Genomic DNA, 20353 nt, shown 5'->3' with positions numbered 1-20353 from the left:
GTGTGTCTGTAAGAAATTTAACTTCCATATGCTGACAAATTAGCCAACACTGCTTTTTTGTTGTTGTTGTTATTTTTGTAATCTCACTCCTAGATGCTTTGAGTTTGCAGGAAACAAAATAATAAATGGTATACCTAAGAGTTGAATGGTATACACCCTTTTAAAAGGTGACTGTCAACAGTCTATTTCTTTCAGTGATTACAAAAGACTCATATAAATGGTTTATGTAGGAGTTTTCTGAATTAATTTCTATGCAGAATGCAATATTTAATAAAAGGTAAAACAAATGTGCTATTAGAAGTTTTCCTCTTGCCTTCTTAAAGTATATTCTTTAGTATTCTTAAATATATTCTTTAACATTCATATTCTTAAACTCCAATATTAATGATAAACATTACTGAATAACTAAAGTGTGAGTCTTGGAAGGGATGCACCTTCCTGCATCAAGCACCTCACCATCACTCGAGTGTCCTCTATTGATGAAGCTTAACTTTCAACTAGCTGGCAAAGGAGGAATGCTTACAGGATCCTGATTCAGTATCATAAAGCTGTATTAGGATATGAGGGACGATAAATTGAAAACTGGTGAGGCATAAAATTTCAAATTTCTCATTTGTTATTATTTTTAAGTTGTACCCTAAGACACTGAATCTTGGTAAAGTTTGGATGAGTAGGAGGCATGACTTTCTTTTTTGAAAGTTGGGGGCCATATAGAGGTTCAGACAAAGGTGAGCTTAGATTTGAGCCACTGAGTCCACAGTTCCACTGGTGGTCACTTGTCTAATGTCCAAATATATATTAAAAATTGAGATACTAGTAGGTTGGATTTTTGATTTCAGTAGTTGCTAGCTCGGACCTGGTTAGAGGGATTCTTGTTGTGCTGGGCCCATGGGTGCCCTTCACCTATCACCACTCTATTCATACTCCCAACAAACCAGCACTGGAGTCGCCAGTTATTTTGTGCTTTACCTATGATAAATATTAATTTTTACCAATTCAAATTATATAATGATATATAATTGATTTCATTGTTAGTCCCTAAATAATAAATTGATTAATCACTTTTTGGGTTTATGATCCAGTCAGAAATTTGTTCACGTACTGCACTCATTTTATCAAGTGATATTTTTCATTAGATTCTTCTTTAGTATAGAGACTTTATTAAGGATAAATTTGTTATTCATAAGAGATCCAGAATCCTAAGTCATCATGACCATGGCTCAGAGTGACTAGCAAAGAGACAAAATAATAAATGTCAGATAAACAAGTAAAACTTAATGAATAATCCTTAGTCAGGTAAGGTGAACTTTGCAGTTGGATTGATCAATAATAAAGAGGACATGCAGGTTGCAAGAGTTAGGACAGAATGAAATAAAAATTGAGATAATCACATTGAATCAGGGCATAAACACTTTAACAAAGCATATAATGGGTAGTTAAGACCAAGAAAACAACTAGAAACAAGAGAGCTTTGGAAGAAAAACTAATCAGTAAAGCTTTAACAGAAAGCAATTTTAGATTTTAATCAGTTTACTGGTAATTTTCAGAGCATTAAGTGATTCTTCTTGTGGGCTGTTCAGTCAATCATTCATTTCCACTTTATTTTATGTAATCAAACAACATTTCATATAATTAGGGAGCACATTTCTGATTTCAAGAATATCTAATTATTTTTGTATTCATCCTTCTCACCTCATCCCATTCTTCTTTTATGTTAGTGACTCTTTCATCCCTGAACATTTGAATCATTCTTATATAAAAATCTCATTTTGTAAAGTTATGGTGGTACATACCTGTAATCTCATCCCTTTGGGATGCTAAAATGGGAGGATTGTTTGAGCCCAGGAGTTTGAAATCAGCATGGAGAACACAATGAGATCTCATCACTACAAAAAATAAAAAATTAGTTGGACATGGTGACATGCACCTATGGTCCCAGCTACTTGGGGGGCTGAGGTGAGAGAACCTCTTGAGCTTAGTAAGTTGAGGCTGAAGTGAGCCATGATCACATTTCAATATAAGTGCAACAAATTTCAATACAAGCTCATATGGCTTTATATTATTTTTTATTTCCCCTAGTGTTTTCTTCATTGCCACAGAATATTTCTAACCATTAACTGGGTGGTAAATCTCTGAAAAACAAATTTTTACTTGACAAGGTAGACTTCGAAAGGATTTTTTTTTGTCACAGGAAGAAAGAAATCTTGCATCACAATATTTATTGCTGGAATCAACTGAAGTATTCCTATCTATCAGGTTTTCCAGCTTCAAATCTCAGATATAACTAATCCCTTTTTCCCTTCTTTCCTTTTCTAGCAAACTTCCAGAAACAAAACAGACAACACTTTGTGATGATAAATAGCACGGTTGCCACACAAGCCAGCAGGAACCCAATCACATCCAAAGAGTGGTACTGGAACCAGGTGAGGTTGTGGGCTGCAACTCGAAGATGTTTGGCTCCTTTGTGGCGCATGACAAATTCAATCCAGAAGACTGCTCGATCCAGGGGCTTCACTGGTTGATCATGTTGAATTCTTGATAATTTCATAATATTCTCTTTATATCTGAAGGATAAAAATAAAGATACCGACACTGAAAGTAAGTTAATTTGCCTGTAGATATCAAGTCTATGAAAGGCTTTTAAAGTGTCAAATAATTCAAAGTAAATGTCAAAGAATTGATATAGAATTTATGTATTTTAATTTGAGTCATCATACAAAGTTTGGCTTTTAAATTGGACTTTTCTCATTGACAAATATTTTTAAAGTAGAAAAGGAAAGTCAGGTGAGAAAGTTATTTTTTTCAAGCAGAGAAAGTATCAGGCATTTTTAATTTGTTTTTAATTTTTTAATTTTAAGTTTTTGTGGGTCCATATTAAGTGCATATGTTTATGGGGTATATGAGATGTTTTGATACAAAGTGAAATAATCACATCATGGAAAATAAGATATTCATTCCTTAAGCATTTATCCTTTGTATTATGAACACATTCCACATTACACTATTAGTTCTAAAACAGGCATATTAGAACGTGCTCAACATCATGAGCCATTTTAAGTGCTGCAAGAAAGATGTGAAAATGCAATCTGAGAATTAACATCTCTAAGTTCCTAAAAAGGAATTTTATCATGGTGAGTGACATGCCTCATAGCTAGTCACTTGGCTTCTAGATTACTCTTTTGTCTCCTACTGTTTCCCACCCTGTAGCCAGAATGATGTTTTGCAACTAAAGTGAGATTATGGCACTCCCCTGATTAAGATTTTTGCCTGGCTTCTCATTATTTTAAGAATAAAATCCAACTCTGTTATTTGGTCTACAGAACCCTACATTGTTAGACACTGGCAAGGTCTTTTTCTAACACTTTTACCTGCACACTGTCTTCTAGATTGGCCTACTATTTTTCTTTAAGCTTCCAAAGGTGTTCTCATCTTAGCACTTTACACATTTTATCCCTTCTCTCCCGCTCTTGGAGTATTCTTTCTTGCTATACCCAAGGCATGCTTCTCTCCCTTTTTGTGGCTTCCCTCTAAGTGTTACCTCTAAGAGAGGCTTTTACTGGCCACAATCTGACGGAACCTCTAGGATTTTCTCTGTTTACTGTGCTTATTTTCTATCTGATTCCTAGAATTTTTAAAATGATTTATATATCTCATAAAATATATATTTAAATACAAAATACAAAAGATAAATATACGTACACTAAGTGAATAGTTCAAAAATGGAAGATCATCTTGAACATTATCTTGAGGCAAAAATACCAATTTACCTATTGTTCAGTTCATGGTACAGGATATCACAACCTGCCTAGAATAGCTCTCTTTTTCTGAACCATTTTGTCACCACTTTTGTCCACCAACTAAAGAATAACCGGACTTTGAATAGCAGCACTAGCTTTGCTTGTTTATGTAATTGAATTATATAATATGTACTCCTTAGTGTTTATTTTTTTTAGTGTAACCGTTCTTGGGTAATTCCATTGCTGTGTAGTATTTTGTTGATGGATAAAGCACAAACTATGTCTTCATTTTATGTTGAATAGATATTTCTGTTGCTAACGCTTTTTGGACACTGTTGATAATTCTGTCATGACCACTCTTCTATATACCATTAGATTTATATATTTATACATATCTGTTGGGTATATAATTGAGAGTAGAATTGCTGAGATAACAGTGCATGCATAATTATGATTTACTTCTTGACTTTAAATATTTGAAGTGTATTTTGTTAATTTCCAAAATTTAAAGATATTTTAGTAATAGTATTTATAACCTCCCTTACTTCCACTATGGCTGGATCATATAGTCTTTATGATATTGAATCTTTTTATATTTCCTAAGTCTTGATTTATTTCCCACCACATGCCACTTCAAATGACTATTAACTATTCAACATGCTCTAGGAAAATGTGTCTTCCAGTTGATATATACGATACATATATGTGTATTGTATATGTACATGTGTGTATATCATTTTACATTATAAGATTCCATTTGTTAATTGTGTTCTTCAAACGTTTTATGTCCTTACTCATTATTTGCTTGTTTTTTTAAAAAAGTCTGTTTAGGTTGAGTGAAAGTATTTGTATAATCACATTTAAATCTACCACTTTGTTTTATATTTCTTTTCTATTTGTCCAAGTTGGTTTGTGTTTCTATTCAATTATTTCCCATCTTCTTTAAAGGTGTTTTGATCATTCTTTATCCTTCTATTGTCTTTGTGATAAAGTATTTTTAGAGTATTTCTTTAGATGATACCCTCCTTACACAAAGGCCAATGAACTGATAAATGAACAACTAAATTATGACGTATCTATATTAAAAAATATTATACAAGTGTAAAAGAAATTAAATATTAAAACACACAACGACATGAATTAAACTAAAAACCATAAAAAAAAATTAGGCTAGGTGAAATGTCATTTACACAGTACCCTAGACTGTATGATTCCATTTATATGAAACATCTATAGAGAATAATCTATAGAGAAAGAAAACAAATTGGTGTTAGACTATGACTAAGCAGTCATGGGAGGTGATTTTGGTGTCACTGCAGTTTCTTTTGCGTTGATAAAAATGTTCCAAACTTATACACTGGTGATGACTTCATGACTCTGTAAACATAGTAAAAATATTTGGAATTTTTGCCATAAATAGGTGGGTTTTATGCTATCAAAATTAAATCTCATTTTCAAGTCTGTTACAATAAAGATAATAATAAAAATTAATTTTTCTGCAAGAAAATAGTTATATTCTGAGACATTTTAGATATTTAATTAAAACATTTTATTATATTATTTCAAGATTATTCTTCCTTTCTACTATGGATTCATTATGTCAAATTTTTAAGAAATGTATTTTTTTATATTATCTATATCATTTTAAAATTATTTTTATTTAGAAAACTGTTTCACTAACTGGTTACTCATTAGATGTATGGGGTTCAAATACAATTTTTAAATAACAGATAAAAAGTAAAAGCAGATTTCGGATTGGTTAAATCATTTAAATTCTTTCAAAATCACTCTCTTATAAAAAGGATGAAACTCATGCTCACTACTGACAAGAAAAGCTATCTATTAATACCATCTAGTGAAAAATATTGTTCTACTCACGAAGGATCATTAATTACTGTCTTCAGTGCATTCAGCAGGTCTGTACTCGACATTGTGTTGAAGTCCACTCTAACAGCTGCTCCCTTGGCCTTCATGTGAGCAATATTATCAGGTTGATCAAAAAACAATGGAATGCCCACCATAGGGATCCCATGGTAGATTGCCTCATAGATGCCATTGGCTCCACCATGAGTTATAAAAGCTCTGGTTTTTGGATGACCTAGGATTGGATGAATTTTAGCAAAATTATTCATAGGAATAAAATGAGATGCACAATGAAAGGCTCTGAAAGTGACAGTGTTTTCTAGATAACACACTGAACTAATTTGCTATTACTTTTCAGATTTCAGAGGAAAAAACAGGTACTTGTGTTGGAGATGTAACTGAAGGCTATATGGTGGTGTGACTTCAGACTGCAAAACTTAATACAAGATTTCCAGTTGGACTAATGAAAAAGAGCATTCTAGATTTTTAAAATGTGCACAAAAGAGGACAGCAAAGAGATGGGCATGAAATGAAGTGTTATTCTAAGTACAGTCACAGAGTGTGATATGTGGGGTGTGCAAGGCAGCAGGCAGTGGGTTGGTGGTGGTGCTAAGATTGAGGAAAGACAGGTCACACTTCATCATGAAATGTGTCATTACTTTAAGATTAGGAATTTAGTCCTCCAGAAAATACAGTCACTGGTGATAGAAGAGCTATTATATTTAGTGGCATTTGAAATAACCCTGCAGGAGAGGAGAAAACAGGTGTAAAGTTGTAGAAACAGGAGACAGAGGGACAGCCCAGGAAGATATTGAAAAATTCTGTGAGATATAATAGCACCTGAAATAAAGATTACCTCTGATTCTGACCACAAAGAATGTGAGTGTGTATCACAAAATGCCAACAATTATAACATATTCTTTTCCCCTAGGACTGGAAAATAAATATAAAGAAGTTCTTTTTTGTTTTCCTATAACAAATATTCAATAAGCATGCTTCGAGATGAACTATTAACACTCTAATGTGCAGTTACTAATATATCCAGTATTGTTCACCAGAGTGTTACCTAGAAGGTCATTCTGGGGTATCCACTTGTACAGTCGAGTATTGAGACCTAAGGCATCTGGTTTATTCCCATCAAATCTCCAAAGAACCTGTTACAGTAAAGAGAATATCTTATTCCACGAGTGGAACTCAAAAGTTATAAAATGTTAGAACTGTAAAAAGAGTAGAAATGAAATCAAGGGATGTTAGTAAATAAATCTACTCAAAGACTGATGCAAAAAGAATAACCACATTTTATTTTCTGAACTTTTATAATGATTTAGGTATATAAGAAACCATTATTTTCCAAAGTAATACCTTAGAAAAATAAGATTATCAATGAAAAGTTCAAGTATTTAGAAAATTTTTATACTTTTTAAAAGAAGAACTACCTGCGGCTAACCATCGAAGAAAAAAAGTTTAACATCACACATCATTAGAGAAATTCAAATCAAAACCACAATGAGATAACATCGCACACCAGTCAGAATGGCCATTATTAAAAACTCAAAAAATATCATGATGTTGGCGAGGTTGTATAGAAAAGGAATGCTTATACTCTGTTGGTTGGAATGTAAGTTAGTTCAATCATTGTGGAAGACAGTGTGGTGATTCCTCAAAAACCTAGAGGCAAAAATACCATGAAACCCAGCAATCCCATTACTAGGTATATAACCAAAGGACTATAACTTGTTCTGTCATAAAGATCCATGAAACTATATGTTAGTTGCACTACTATTCACAATAGCAAGGACATGAAATCAACCTAAATGACCATCAATTATGGACTGAATAAAGAAAATATGGTATATATACACTACAGAATATTATGCAGCCATAAAAAGAATAAAAATATGTATTTTGCAGGGATAAGGATTGAGCTGGTGGCCATTAGCCTTAGCAAACTAACATAGGAATTGAAATCCAAGTGTAACAAGTCCTCACTTATGAGTGGAAGCTAAAAGATGAGAACACATGTACACATAGAAGGCAACAACATACACTGAGATGTATTGGAAGGTGGAGGATGGGAGGAAAGAGAGGATCAGGAAAAATAATAAATGAATATTAGTCTTAATACGTGGGTGATGAAACAATCAGTACAACAAACCCCCATGACACAAGTTTCCCTATGTAAAAAACCTGCACATGTACTCCTGAACTTAAAATAAAAGTTAAAAATAAAAGTTAATTTAATTAAAAAAATAAAAATATTATAAAAAAAGTATAAAAAATTATAGGGAGTCATTGTAATTCTGGTATAAAAAAAGTAACAATTTAGTAATGACCTATATGTTTATTTTGTTTTATGTATTTTATGTTAGTTTTCATCTCCAAATTTAATTGTAATGTATTCGTTTCTTTTTGAGTAATATGAGTAGTTTCAATATATCTACTTGTCTGTAAGTTATTATATTACAGCCTGTTGTCCTTTGATTGACAAAATAGCAAGTCTATAAAATAAGCTACTACAAGAAATAAATAAATGCTGCAAGGGTTTTATGTATAACTTCATTGGAATTACAAATTATCAAGCACTACTTCCAAGAAAAATTTCAAGTGACAATTTTTGACACAAATTCAGAGTATTACCAACCAGTATTGCTAATTTTGGATTTTTTTGGCATAGAAATAAGGAACATGTTGGTATCATGAATAAAAATAAAGCTTTTGAATAACCTCAAAATTGTATTTTGCTGAATTTGGTCAACAGATTATTAACACTTAGACAAGGTGCTACAAAGCTTTGACAACAGTGATTAATATGTTCTTCTATAGCCAAGACATTTTTATGTTGTTACTAATTTTGAAACTCCAAAGCAATCCTCATAAACTGAACAATAATTTACAGTGTTTAATTTTATTTGCTACATCACTGTTAAAGTAACTCAGGTTTAAGCAAAATTTAGAGGCCATTACAAGAAAGCTTTATCAGATAGGAAATTAGAAAGTAATTGACAAATGGACAAAGGTCACTGGTTTATTCTATATAGAAGAAAATATATTCCTACTATGTTCTATGGAGGGGGCATCTGAACCTGTTCCCCTGCCTGGCTTCCTTCTGTTTGTCTCCTTCCTATATTTCCTTCTGCTGCGTCCATTGGGAGGGGTTGTTAATCTGGTAATTAGTGCTGAGTCCTTGTGGGGCCACATTTTATACTGGACAGGATCCACCTTCAGGTCAGGATCCATCTGCACCTTTTCCTTTTCACCTGCCTGCTTCAGATATTGGCTGGGCCCAGTCCAGCAGGGCAAGCTGCTTTTTCTCTTTCTCTAAATCTACCTGGTTGTGTGGGTACTTGGACTAGTTGTCTGTTGGCCTAGGCCACTCTTTCTCTGAATAGTAGCCTGAACATCATTCAGATAGGCCTATGCCAAAATGTAGAGGAAGTATCTGAGGCTGGATAATATGGCAAACCTAAACTGCATGATGCATGTCAGACTTTTTGAAATACCTGCTATTGTTATTGTGCTACTGAAGTCACCCATTAAAACGTAACTTTTTCTGATAACATCTGTAGTGTGTACAGTGCCCTCAGGAATTCTTAAACAAAAGGGTCAAATGACAGGGGCAGAATTTGGTGATAACTCTTACCTGATCCCTATAACATGATAATATCGATACTTCATCTACATTTCTTAAATAAATTTATTCCTGGTCATATTATTAATGCCAAACTTATTATCAATGAAAAACAGCCTATTATTATAGCATCATCCATGTATATTTTTGATTTTGAACTAATATCTGAGATAATTAGTGCTTTCCCAAAAGCTCTAATTTTTAGGCCCGAACTTTCTTTTTTATTTGTCATATTCATAAAGTTTATTTTAAAAAATTTTAAAAACTTACCATACAGGAATATTTATTAATATACTTAAAAAGTTTGTTCCCTATGCTGAAGTAAAATACATTAGTGACATCTTCCAGGCACCATGTTTATAAAAGTAAAACTTCTAGGTCCTGAAATATACTACAGTAGAGTCTCTAGTTTACTAGTTTACTTTTTTTGAGACAGAGTGTGGCCCTGTAGCCCAGGCTGGAGTGCAATGTTGTGATCTTGCCTCATTGCAACCTCCGCCTCCTTGGTTCAAGGGATTCTCCTGCCTCAGTGTCCTGAATAGCTGGGGTTACAGGCACACACCACCACTCCTGCCTAATTTTTTGTATCTTTAGTAGAGACAGGGTTTCACCATATCGTTCAGGGTGATCTCGATCTCCTGACCTCGTGATCTGCCCGCCTTGGCCTCCCAAAGTGCTGGGATTACAGGCGCGAACCACCATGCCCATCCTATAGTTTACACTTTTAATCACAGGACTGGAATTCATTCTTTTTACTCCCCTACTCTCCACATATGCCAGTTATTATTCCTATATTAATGACATTCAATCATGCTATACTACCACTGATCCTTAAATAGAGTATATACTGCATAATGACCACCAGAGCCAGTCTTCTCTATTTGTTGCCACATATTTCATATAAGCATTTGACTTAAAGTACAAACAGAAATACTACATTCCTTAATTGTAAACATTCACCAAGGGCTTCCAGAGTACAATAAGTAATAGAGGTGGCCCAAGAGTTAGTCAAGTGTTCTTCACCCATTGGATACTGCTGAGATTAGGAAAACTCTTTTGAAGAAAATTATCATAAATCTTACTTGTATTTCTACAAGAACACAGTTCTGGATATATATTTTTAGTTGAAAACACCTGAAAGTCATTCTAAAGACTACATTAAGCACCATTTTCACTTAACTGAAATATATTGAGTTAAATTCAGCAGTAGGTATGACTGTTAACATCAGAAATTAAAAGTAATTGTGGGTCTCAAGTTCCCTTTTGTGGATACATATGGAGTACTGAGTTCCCACTGATGCTAATAGGAATCACTCATGCATACCAAGGGTAGTAACTACCCCAGGGCCACATGTAATCACTAAGTCTGAGGCACAACTATTACTTCTGTCAGTGGATGCTATACAAGCATATTTAAGGTTGTATTCAGCTATAAATAGTTCAGTCTACTCTTTAATATTCTTTCTATGTAGATCACAAACTTTAACAGCCTCTTTCAGTAGTTTTCCACACCAGTAAGGCACTTTATCTTACCTTTTGTGGGATCTTGGCAAGGGCTGTTGCAATTACGTTGGCCCTTTCTTCTGTCATGTTACTGACCATTGACCCCAGAGAAAACACCACAACACCATTTTCTCCAGAGCTCTGTACAAACTCCTCCATTTCCTGTGGGAAAAAGAAAAAATGTTTCATCATAAAAGAGTATCACCACAGCAGGCACTACCGAAAGAATTGGTACAAAATATTAAAGAGAGAAAATCAAGTATTTTGAGGAATTATTGGAGTAAATAATATTTTTTAACTGACTCAATCACTGTTTCTTTGCAAGAAGATGTATGAGATAGTTGGCCTCTGTTAAGGATATTTGTGTAAATATGTGTGTGTATGTAGGTATGTGTCTGTATGTGTGTAATGGAGAAAAGAAAAGGAGCTATTACATTGTAGTCAGGGAGATAATGTTAAAACATATACCCAGACTCTTCACTTATAATACTATAATTGCTACTATAAGTCCTTGGAAAAGTGGCACCACTAGGGTTTAATCTATATTTTTGTTCTACTAAATCACTTGTGTTTATTTCAGGCAGGTTTTCTGTAGAATTCTTTTAGTTTGAAGCCATTAGTGGTTTACTTCCCTAACTATGAGTACTGAGGAAAAGCTACTCACAGTTGGGATAATTTTATATCTACATTTACGTTACTCTACAATGCTTTTTGCTTCACTTAAAATTTGTCAGAGTTTTCCAGTAGTTTTTCAAAAAATAAAATAAAAAATAAAAGCTGGGGGTTAAGAATCACTGACATTCTGGAGTCTAGTATTGTGATTTGGAATATTTATGAATCAGTCCTTAGAGTCTCATTTATAATACAGAATTGTACAGTTTATAGTTAGTAGTTGAATAATTGTACCTTTCAGGTTATTGTTTAGGTGGAGCACGTATTGCCCTGAAATCACACTGTTAAATTGATGTGCTATTTCTAACTGCATGTGAGGAACTCTCATCATCACTTTGTTGTGTCTCAGAGGCAGCACTTGCACCAGAATAGGAGAGGCCACCAGGCCTTTCTTCAGGGGGATCTTGTCTCTCTTTTGAGTAGCTCACGCACACCACATTACACTCCTGGTGAAGATGTGCTTGGCTGCAATTGATTGAGAATTATTCTGACTTGAGTTCCCCAATGTATGCCAATATATAAATTTAAATACTTTCAGATTTAATCATTGGGGTAAAACTTTCCCCAGTGGTTTTTAACAAAACATAGAAAAAATGTGTCTAAGTGTAAACTGTGCACCACATATGGCAGAACGTTTTTTAAAATGTGATTTGTAATCTTAAGTTAACGTGAGAGTCCCTGTACTACTATTCCACATAATACTTGGGGCATCTAGGTATTGTGTGTGATTGCAGTTACCTGTAGCCACATTTAATGTAACTCGTGTTCAGTGTTTCATCTTACTGGCTTGATGCCAGAGCCTTGTTTTTCTATGCAGTGTTGAAGGAATCTAACCTCTGTGTAGAGATTCATCACTGATATTGACTGGTTGTTTCTCCTTTTGTGATAATGTTATAAAAATACTACAAAGTTAATGTAAGAAATTTTATAACAGTAAGAAAAGTTTTTTAAAAATAATTTTTTCTAAAATTTCTATCTAGAGATATTATTTATAGAAATTATGTATTTTTTATTATGGATTTTGCCCTACTTATATAGGTCAATGTACATACACGACACTTATTTAGAAAATTTTAATCTCATTTTATATACATTTCCTCCTGCAAAAATTTGCCATCGTGTTATATTTATAATTTTCTTATTCACTGTATGTGTATTATGGCTGACAGCATAATTGAACATTTCATTGATAAAATCATTTTAGTGCTATTGTAGGCATATGTTTCTAATCATTATTTCATGTAACATGTTGGATTACTTCCAATGTTAATTTTGTGAATATTTTCCATAATGTTTAAAAGGTACACCTTGATTAATTTTTTTATGATTTCACATGACTATATTATAAAACTAATAACAATATGTATTTTTAAAACACCTGATACATTTTGTCAAGTGTCTTATTCTCTTAAAATATATAGAAATTATCTGAGAATCTAATATATAATTGAAAAGAAAGCAACCTGGCTTAGCAAATATTTTACATAATAAACAATTAAAGAACTGGTTTCACAACCATTGACTTTCATTCAATGCTTTCTGCAAGTTAATAACAAGAGCTAGTATTAGTTATTACCACTATTGTACTACCAGTCAACCTTTTTTTCTTGTCCTTCTACATTGTCCTACTCTCTTCCTCCTTCTACTGGCACTGTCAGTTTCCCTTAGTGTGAGTGGGGAAATCTTTCAAGAGTAGGGTAGAGTGGCATATATTTTTCATTAGTCTTACCTCAACTTTTGTCTCTTAAGAAACTGACTCTATAAAGCCTATACAACTTGCATTAAACATAGATACTGAGTTTTAACAATGGAACAAATTCTCAGTTTTATGCAAGCAAAAATGATCTTTTAAGAGATTGCATAATAATCCATTGAAGAAGCCTTACTTTTTACATATGCCTTAAAATGTGATGTTAATTAAAATATATGAAGTTCTTGTATTCCTTCGAAAAGAATATAATCTTATATGCTGACGGAATTTTTTTTCGTATTGAAATTAAGGGCACTATTCAGAAACAAGTGGCAGAAATTATTTGGTCTTTATTATACATGCATTGTTCATTATCTCTGTGCTTCTCTGTCAGACACCTATGATGTCAAGACGAGTTCCCCCAGGAAGCTTTATTGAGTGGCCTGTCATAAGGCAGAAATCATCTGCTCTAATAGGATATGTTTATGCTCTAAAATGTAAAATTCTGGGATCTCAATGCAGAATGATTTAAATGCTTTATTAAAATCATGTGAACCCTGTGTTTGTCTGCACATATTTGAGGCACACATTTATATTGTTGAGGAAGTGTTTTAAGCTGGAATACTGGTGAAGATCCTTATTACTTATGGAAGAATTTTAAAATTTCAACTAGCTTATCTTGCTGTCACAACTGATATGTCTACTTTTAATCAAGTCCAAGGGTATCTGTCATCTATGACATTCCAAGACAATATAACCTTGATGTGCTGAATAATCTGGTTCTCTTAAATGAGGAATGATATCTCAAGTGACATGCACATGTTAAGTAGTTAGTAGTATTAGTAATAAAATAACCATAATTGCAAAATTAATAACATTTCTGAGTCACTGACTATATGCCAGAGACATTTTAAGTGTTTTGTCTGTGTTAATATTTTTTTCCACACAACACAATATGAAGTTGGCACTATTTTTGTAAATGTAGGCATAATTATTTCTATCAACAGTGTAGTCCACTTTTTCATCATCTGCTACCTGAATCCATGGAAAATTTCCTGAATGTTTCGGTCTTTACAGTCTGGCCCTTCTGCAATTTAATCCATTGAATATCTTGGAGGCTTTTCTTATAAAAAGAATCATTTCATATATCCTTATTTCTGAACTCTTTTTAGGATGTTTTCAATGTTCTTAATAAATATTTCAACTCCTAATACGTATCTGGCTCTAATTTACCTTTTAGGGTCATCTGATTCTTAATCATTCCCTGCAAACTAAACCTGAGGACTTGAGAACTGTCCTGACCACTTTATCTGCTTTCCCTTTTTGTCTGTCTCTCCCCACCATTCTTTTCCCTATTCCTGCATATTGTTCAGCTCTCATCGTACTCATCAGTGACTCCAGGATACTTTCTATTATCTCCACTGATGCTTTCTTAGCATTGGGTTTTTTTCTTGAGATAATAGTTTTTATATAATATTCATTACTTACTTATATTCTATATTTCAAAGTAGAATGTAAGGTATGTAGGGACAGAAACTGTGTCTATTTTTTTTCTCTGAAAATTGTGCACTTACCTGTGTTTTGTGATAATCTCTTTGTAAATATTCTTTGAATGAATGACCAATACCTTCTTAGGTGTTGCATAATCAAGACTTTAATTTAACCAACCCTATTTTCAAAGTTTCTTTAGTATTCCTCTCTATTTGTAACATGCATAAAACTCACATACGTGTGATGGTATTAACATGTACATGAGTTTCTAATTGGTATCTGCTTTACCCCACCTACTTCCCATCTTTTTCAGTGTTAGTCAAACACTCTGAATGAAGACTATACAGTCATTTCTACTGAAATTTGAAGCCAACAAAATAAAACCAACGAAAGTATGTTTACCTTAGGTAGGGGTTTGGCAGGTTTGCAGTGGAGTCCTCCAACAAAATCAACATTTGGTAAGAATGGATGAGGAAATTTAAAATTCCAGGAGTTTCGCATAAGCCATATGTCAGCTTTCCTCATTGTCTCAGATAATGTAGTGGGTCTTCCTGATAGGAATAAAGAAAAGAAGAAGTGGATGACATAAGATAATTACTTTATGTAATTTTCTGAAAGGGGTTAGAATAATGCAGGCAAAAATGTTGGTAAAGTTTGTGTGCTTTGAAAAATATGTACATATATTCATATATAGGAATAATTTATTTTTTATGTATTCTATATTTTGCCCTTGTTTATTTATAAGAAAGGCAAAGTAGTGGGAGAATTATGAGGTTAAGCTACATCTCTAATGTCATGTCAGTATACTCACAATTATTAAAATAAGTCATAGAGAATTAAACATCAATTTATTTTCTCTTTAAAGCTTCAATAGTAGCCTCTAGATATTTAAACAAATCTTTGAGCTCCATAATCAATTAATTCTACAGTAACCATAGAAACAATTTTCTAACAAATAGTCTAGTTTACACAACTCATTAAGCTAATCCTTTTATCTTTGGTTCTTCAAGTTAACTGTGGACTATTTTGTGAGTATGGCTGAAATCATTGTACCAACTACTCATTTGGATCCAAGCTAAGATCTTAATAATATTAAGTAAAAATATTTGTAAATTATAGCTAGAAATTTTTGAGAAATTATTGAAATAGAGATCTGTACTCGACCATAATCAGTCTCGTATTTTTAAATAAAGAGACATAGTTTCAAATAAACTATATAGATATAACAACCTTCACACTTCAACAAGATGATTGGACTTTAAATAAAAGATTTCCAATTATTTAGTGAAGGAGTATAGAAACATTTGAAACTTCAAATTACCCTTATTGATTTTTGCATCTGAGATATAGACATTATCTCTCTCTACTGTGAAGACAACCTCCTGGTAACATGGGAACATCTTTTAATTTCTAAATAAGACAACTGAGATTTAGAAGGAAAAATTTCTGCAGTTATATAGATAGTTGTAGAAAAATGTGTAATTACTCATTCTAAATCTATGCATTCGGTTAGATGTTACTTGACGGATCTTGCTGTTTTTAAGATCTGAAACATTCTATAGTAAAACAGATATATAATTGCTTAAAGTCTTAGGTGTACTAATATATAGGTTTATGATTTCCTGGGGTGTTCTGTATGAGTGATGGTCACAGCGTTTTCACTGACCCTATAATTTAAGCTTTTCTATAATATTTGTGAGATTGGTAGATCATCTTGTATTTTCATTTCATAAATTCATTTACCAAAAACTCCACTTCCCTGACTTTATGGCTTTATGCAAGTTGTGCTTCAAAGACACAAATAAGTTAGAGCTTCATGTTACTAATTGAAAAAAATCTTACCTAAAACTTCACTGTAAAACTGATCCCACTTCTTCATATTAAATATTTGGAACCAAAAGTCAAAATAAAGCACATAGAGCATATTTTTTACCCTCTCCATGAAAGTCATTTGATCACTTAATTTTGACATAACAACAGGTACGTAGGAAGGAGGGAAAATAAATCCTCCACTGTGCCTTTCAAATGAGTAGCCAGGACTGAAGCTGTGACTGTACACAAAGGGTATGTTAAATAGCTCAGCCAGCAGCTCACCACAGGGTAAATAAGCATCTGCAAAAACGATGTCAAATCTTGACTCTTGTAGTTTTTTCATAAGTTTCTTATTTGAAACTACATCTTTACAGAAGTTTCTAATTATGTCATTAATTGCCCACAGGATTTCTTGTTCTTGTGAAAAAGGTAACCAAAATGTATCTTTTTGAATTTCTGACAATCTCTTAACCAATTGCATGATGATATTCTCAAATTCAGTTTTAGTTAAAGATGTAGGATAAACTTCAAGTTTAAGAGTGGATGAGTCGTTGGGATCAAAAAGAATGGAAGCTGAAGATGCCAGTACAGTCACCTCATGACCTCTCTGAACAAGTTCTTTCAGGATTGTCTTCATATTCATCCAAAGGCTGTATTCTGCGGCCCATACCAGCACCTTTCCACAACTCCCAGAGCTAAAGTAAAAACTGAGTTGTATCAGCAGAACTGTAGTCCATTTCAGAGCCATCCTTGTGCAATGTGATAATTCTTTTCCAGTCACTGTTTCTTTCTCATACTTATATACAGAGATAAATCAATCAAGTTAAAACATAACTCCTTCAATTCAAAGTAAATACATTATATGAGCATCCTGAGTACATGGATGGCAAGGAGACAAAGTTCGATTACTTCATATTTACTCAAGGATGTTTGATGTTTCTTTTATGTTTATATTTGGTGTCATCCACCTAAGTTTAATGACCTTGCAAATATCGTGTTTTATATAATGTATTTTATAATAGTGTCAAGAACAGTGGCAAGTGAGAGAGTCCTGCAGGCCCCTTGACACAGAATGAGAGATGAAGTAATTATACAATGCAAATAGAATTTTTGAATATCTTGGTTCAAGGAATATTTTGTAAAACTTTGTTGAAGTATAATTCACATACCATATGATTCATGAATGATTATTTAAAATTAAATATTTCCTAGTAAATTCACAGACTTGTGCATCCAACATAGCAATCAGTTTTATCTAAAAAAAAAAAAAATCCTGTATATTAACTGTCATCTCCCCACCTGAATTTCTGCACCCACACTGTACTGGGCAACCAGTAATCTAATTTCTGCCTCTACAAATATGCCTATTCAGGATCTTTTTAAAAATAAATGAAACTATATAATATGTGGTCTTTTGTGGCTGGCTACTTTTATTTAGTTTAATGTTTTTAAAGGACCATCCATAGAATAGTGTATATAAGGATTTCATTTTTATTGCTTTTTATCAGATGCTACTTATAAGCAGAAATTATTTATTCATTTTTCAGTGGATGGACATTGATTTTCTTCCACTTTTGGCCATTATAAATAGCGTTCACATTTTTATTGCCAAATAGTATCAGATGCTACTTATAAACACAATTTATTTATTCATTCATTTATCAGTGTACGGACATTGTTTTTCTTCCACTTTTGGCCATTATGAATAGCGTTGATTAACATTGATGTACATGCTTTCTGTAGACATGTTTTTATTTTTCTTGGGTATATGCCTAGAAAGGCAATTATTGAATTATGTGGTAAATATATGTGTAAACTTTTGAGGAATTGCTAGACTTTTTCACAGTGGGTGAATAATTTTCTATTCTCACCAACAATGTATGAGAGTTTCAGTGTCTCCACCAACTTGCCAAACCTCATCTTTCAAATAACAAAAAAGGTTATTTTCTATTTTAATTCATTAACACACTCTAACAGACACAAAGAAAGGAAAGTTTCCTTCCACATATTGGAGGGAAAAGGGAATAAATTAACCACTAACTTACCTAATACTTCACTGTAAAACTGATCACACTTCTTTTTGTTAAAATTATCAAATGCAAAGTTAAAATGAAGAAAATGCAAAAGATTTTTCATCTTTCTGTAAATGTATTTTGGTACTAAGTTCTGACATGACAACAGCTACATCAGAAGGAGGTAATGAAAGTCCTCCACAGAGTTCTTGGTACATACTGCCAGTTGTAAATGGATGATAGTAGACCAAATGTATAACAAATGTTTAACAGATTAAGCTGTTCAGATAGCAGCTCACTAATGAGAAATGACATCTGCAAGAATGACATAAATTCTGGAATCTTGTTGTTCCTTATAAGTTTCTTGTTCAAAACAGCATACTCACAGAGCTTTTGAACAGTATCAGAACATTCATAATATGTGTTTTTTGTATCTTTGAATCATATGCCAAAATGTACTCTTTGGAAACTTGTATGTCCATATCTTGATCAATTTCATAAAAATGAAATCAAGTTCATTCTCAGTAAAAGATGTGGGATAAACCTCAAATTTAACAGCAAATTGTTGGAATCAATGAGGATGGAAGCTGAAGGTGACAAGCACAGTTACCTCTTGGTGTTTCTGAGCAAGTTCATCAAGTATCATTATTAAATTGATATAAAGACTGTATTTCACTGGCCACACCAGCACATTCTCACAGGACTCAGAGCTAGAATACAACTGTCAGCATAAGAAACAAAAAAGCCCATTTCTTAGACAACTTGTTAAAATGCTATCTTTCTTTCTAACTTTCTCTAACTTGGTACATATCAATGTCAATCAATGTCACAATGATTTAAGTGTTGACAATAGAGTTTTTGGAAAGCAAGAGAATAAAGAAAAGGATGAATGATTTTGTGTTTGTATGTGTGAATAATAAATTTATTGTTATTTGCTTATTGTAAATGTGGCTGTCTCCAGAACAAGAGATAATTTAATTGTATATAAAGAGTTTCTAGTATAAGAAAGCATCATTCTGTCAACAATGAGGCAGTGGTGTGATCTATTCTTATTTATCTAAACATTCTCAAATAGAATATCTTCATTTTCTCTATGTAGTTTCACACTTATTATATTAGCTTCATTTCATGTTCCTTGACATTGTTTTTCTGACTGTAGAAATTCCTTTTATTTTTATCCAAACAGATATGTTTTAAGTACAATTACAGTTACTTTGTTTCATTTGAAAATATTTTGTCTAAATCACAATAATATCCTTTTCTGAATATTTGCAACATTGCTTACATTTCTCAGTCTTAGAAAATATTTATCTTCTAAATGCCTACTACTTAACTTGTTTCACAGATTGCCTTGTAATTCAGGCAAGTTGTACTTTTAAAAAGTCTAAATAGAAATTTACATCAAGTAGAATTAGGAAGGAAAAGATGCATGTCACAAAATAGAGATATTTGTTTTTATTCTATTAATAATCTGTTAATCTGAAATGAGGTAAATCTTTCTTAAAAAGATATTTGAACACAGTTTCTGAGCAAATATTGCCTGGAGAGTGGCAATATTGTTCAATATTTTCAATGTCCTTGAGTGCAGGCATTATGTGTCACCCAGATTTCCCTTTTGGGAATATAGAAATTACTTTCCAGCTGATGAAGTGATGAACAACTGACATACCTCACCTATAAGCTCTCTCTCTCAGTACATCTCTGCTGAAAGCTATCTAGTATGTAGTGACTTTTCCAAGACAGCCAATATCCAATGCCTGGTCACATGTAGGACTCTAAAGGCCCATTCTCCTCATTTCAACTTGGACCAACTCTGAAGGGCTAACTTAGCTTCAGAATTTCCAGTGGGTGAGATGAAACCTATGCTGAGACTGCATGTCTTAGCATGCTCAGGGTGCTATATAGAAAAATACCATACATTGGCTAGCTTACAGACAACAAACAT

At 32.9% G+C, this 20353-nt stretch overlaps 1 protein-coding gene and 1 pseudogene across 4 annotated transcripts; both read right to left on the bottom strand.

Moving 5' to 3' along the window:
* Window positions 1–1140: 1140 nt before the first annotated feature.
* Window positions 1141–17170, bottom strand: UGT2B10 (UDP glucuronosyltransferase family 2 member B10). Of its 4 annotated transcripts, none has more exons than NM_001075.6 (6): window positions 16427–17170; window positions 14987–15135; window positions 10762–10893; window positions 6667–6754; window positions 5616–5835; window positions 1141–2564 (listed from the first exon to the last, which is right to left on the bottom strand). In NM_001075.6, exons 1-6 carry the CDS (start codon window positions 17142–17144, stop codon window positions 2285–2287), a joined length of 1587 nt encoding a protein of 528 aa, NP_001066.1. In that variant the 5' UTR covers window positions 17145–17170; the 3' UTR covers window positions 1141–2284. The 4 variants fall into 4 exon arrangements, with proteins under 4 accessions (NP_001066.1, XP_016864074.1, NP_001138239.1 ...); XM_017008585.3 differs by having other exon boundaries at window positions 10762–10884; NM_001144767.3 differs by having other exon boundaries at window positions 16679–17170.
* LOC100422189 (UDP glucuronosyltransferase family 2 member B17 pseudogene) lies at window positions 18437–19169 on the bottom strand (annotated as a pseudogene).

This window comes from Homo sapiens, chromosome 4, assembly GCF_000001405.40.
Source record: "Homo sapiens chromosome 4, GRCh38.p14 Primary Assembly".
NCBI classification, from domain to species: domain Eukaryota; kingdom Metazoa; phylum Chordata; class Mammalia; order Primates; family Hominidae; genus Homo; species Homo sapiens.
Note: the sequence above shows the minus strand (reverse complement) of the source record. Positions and strands in the feature narration are given on the sequence as shown.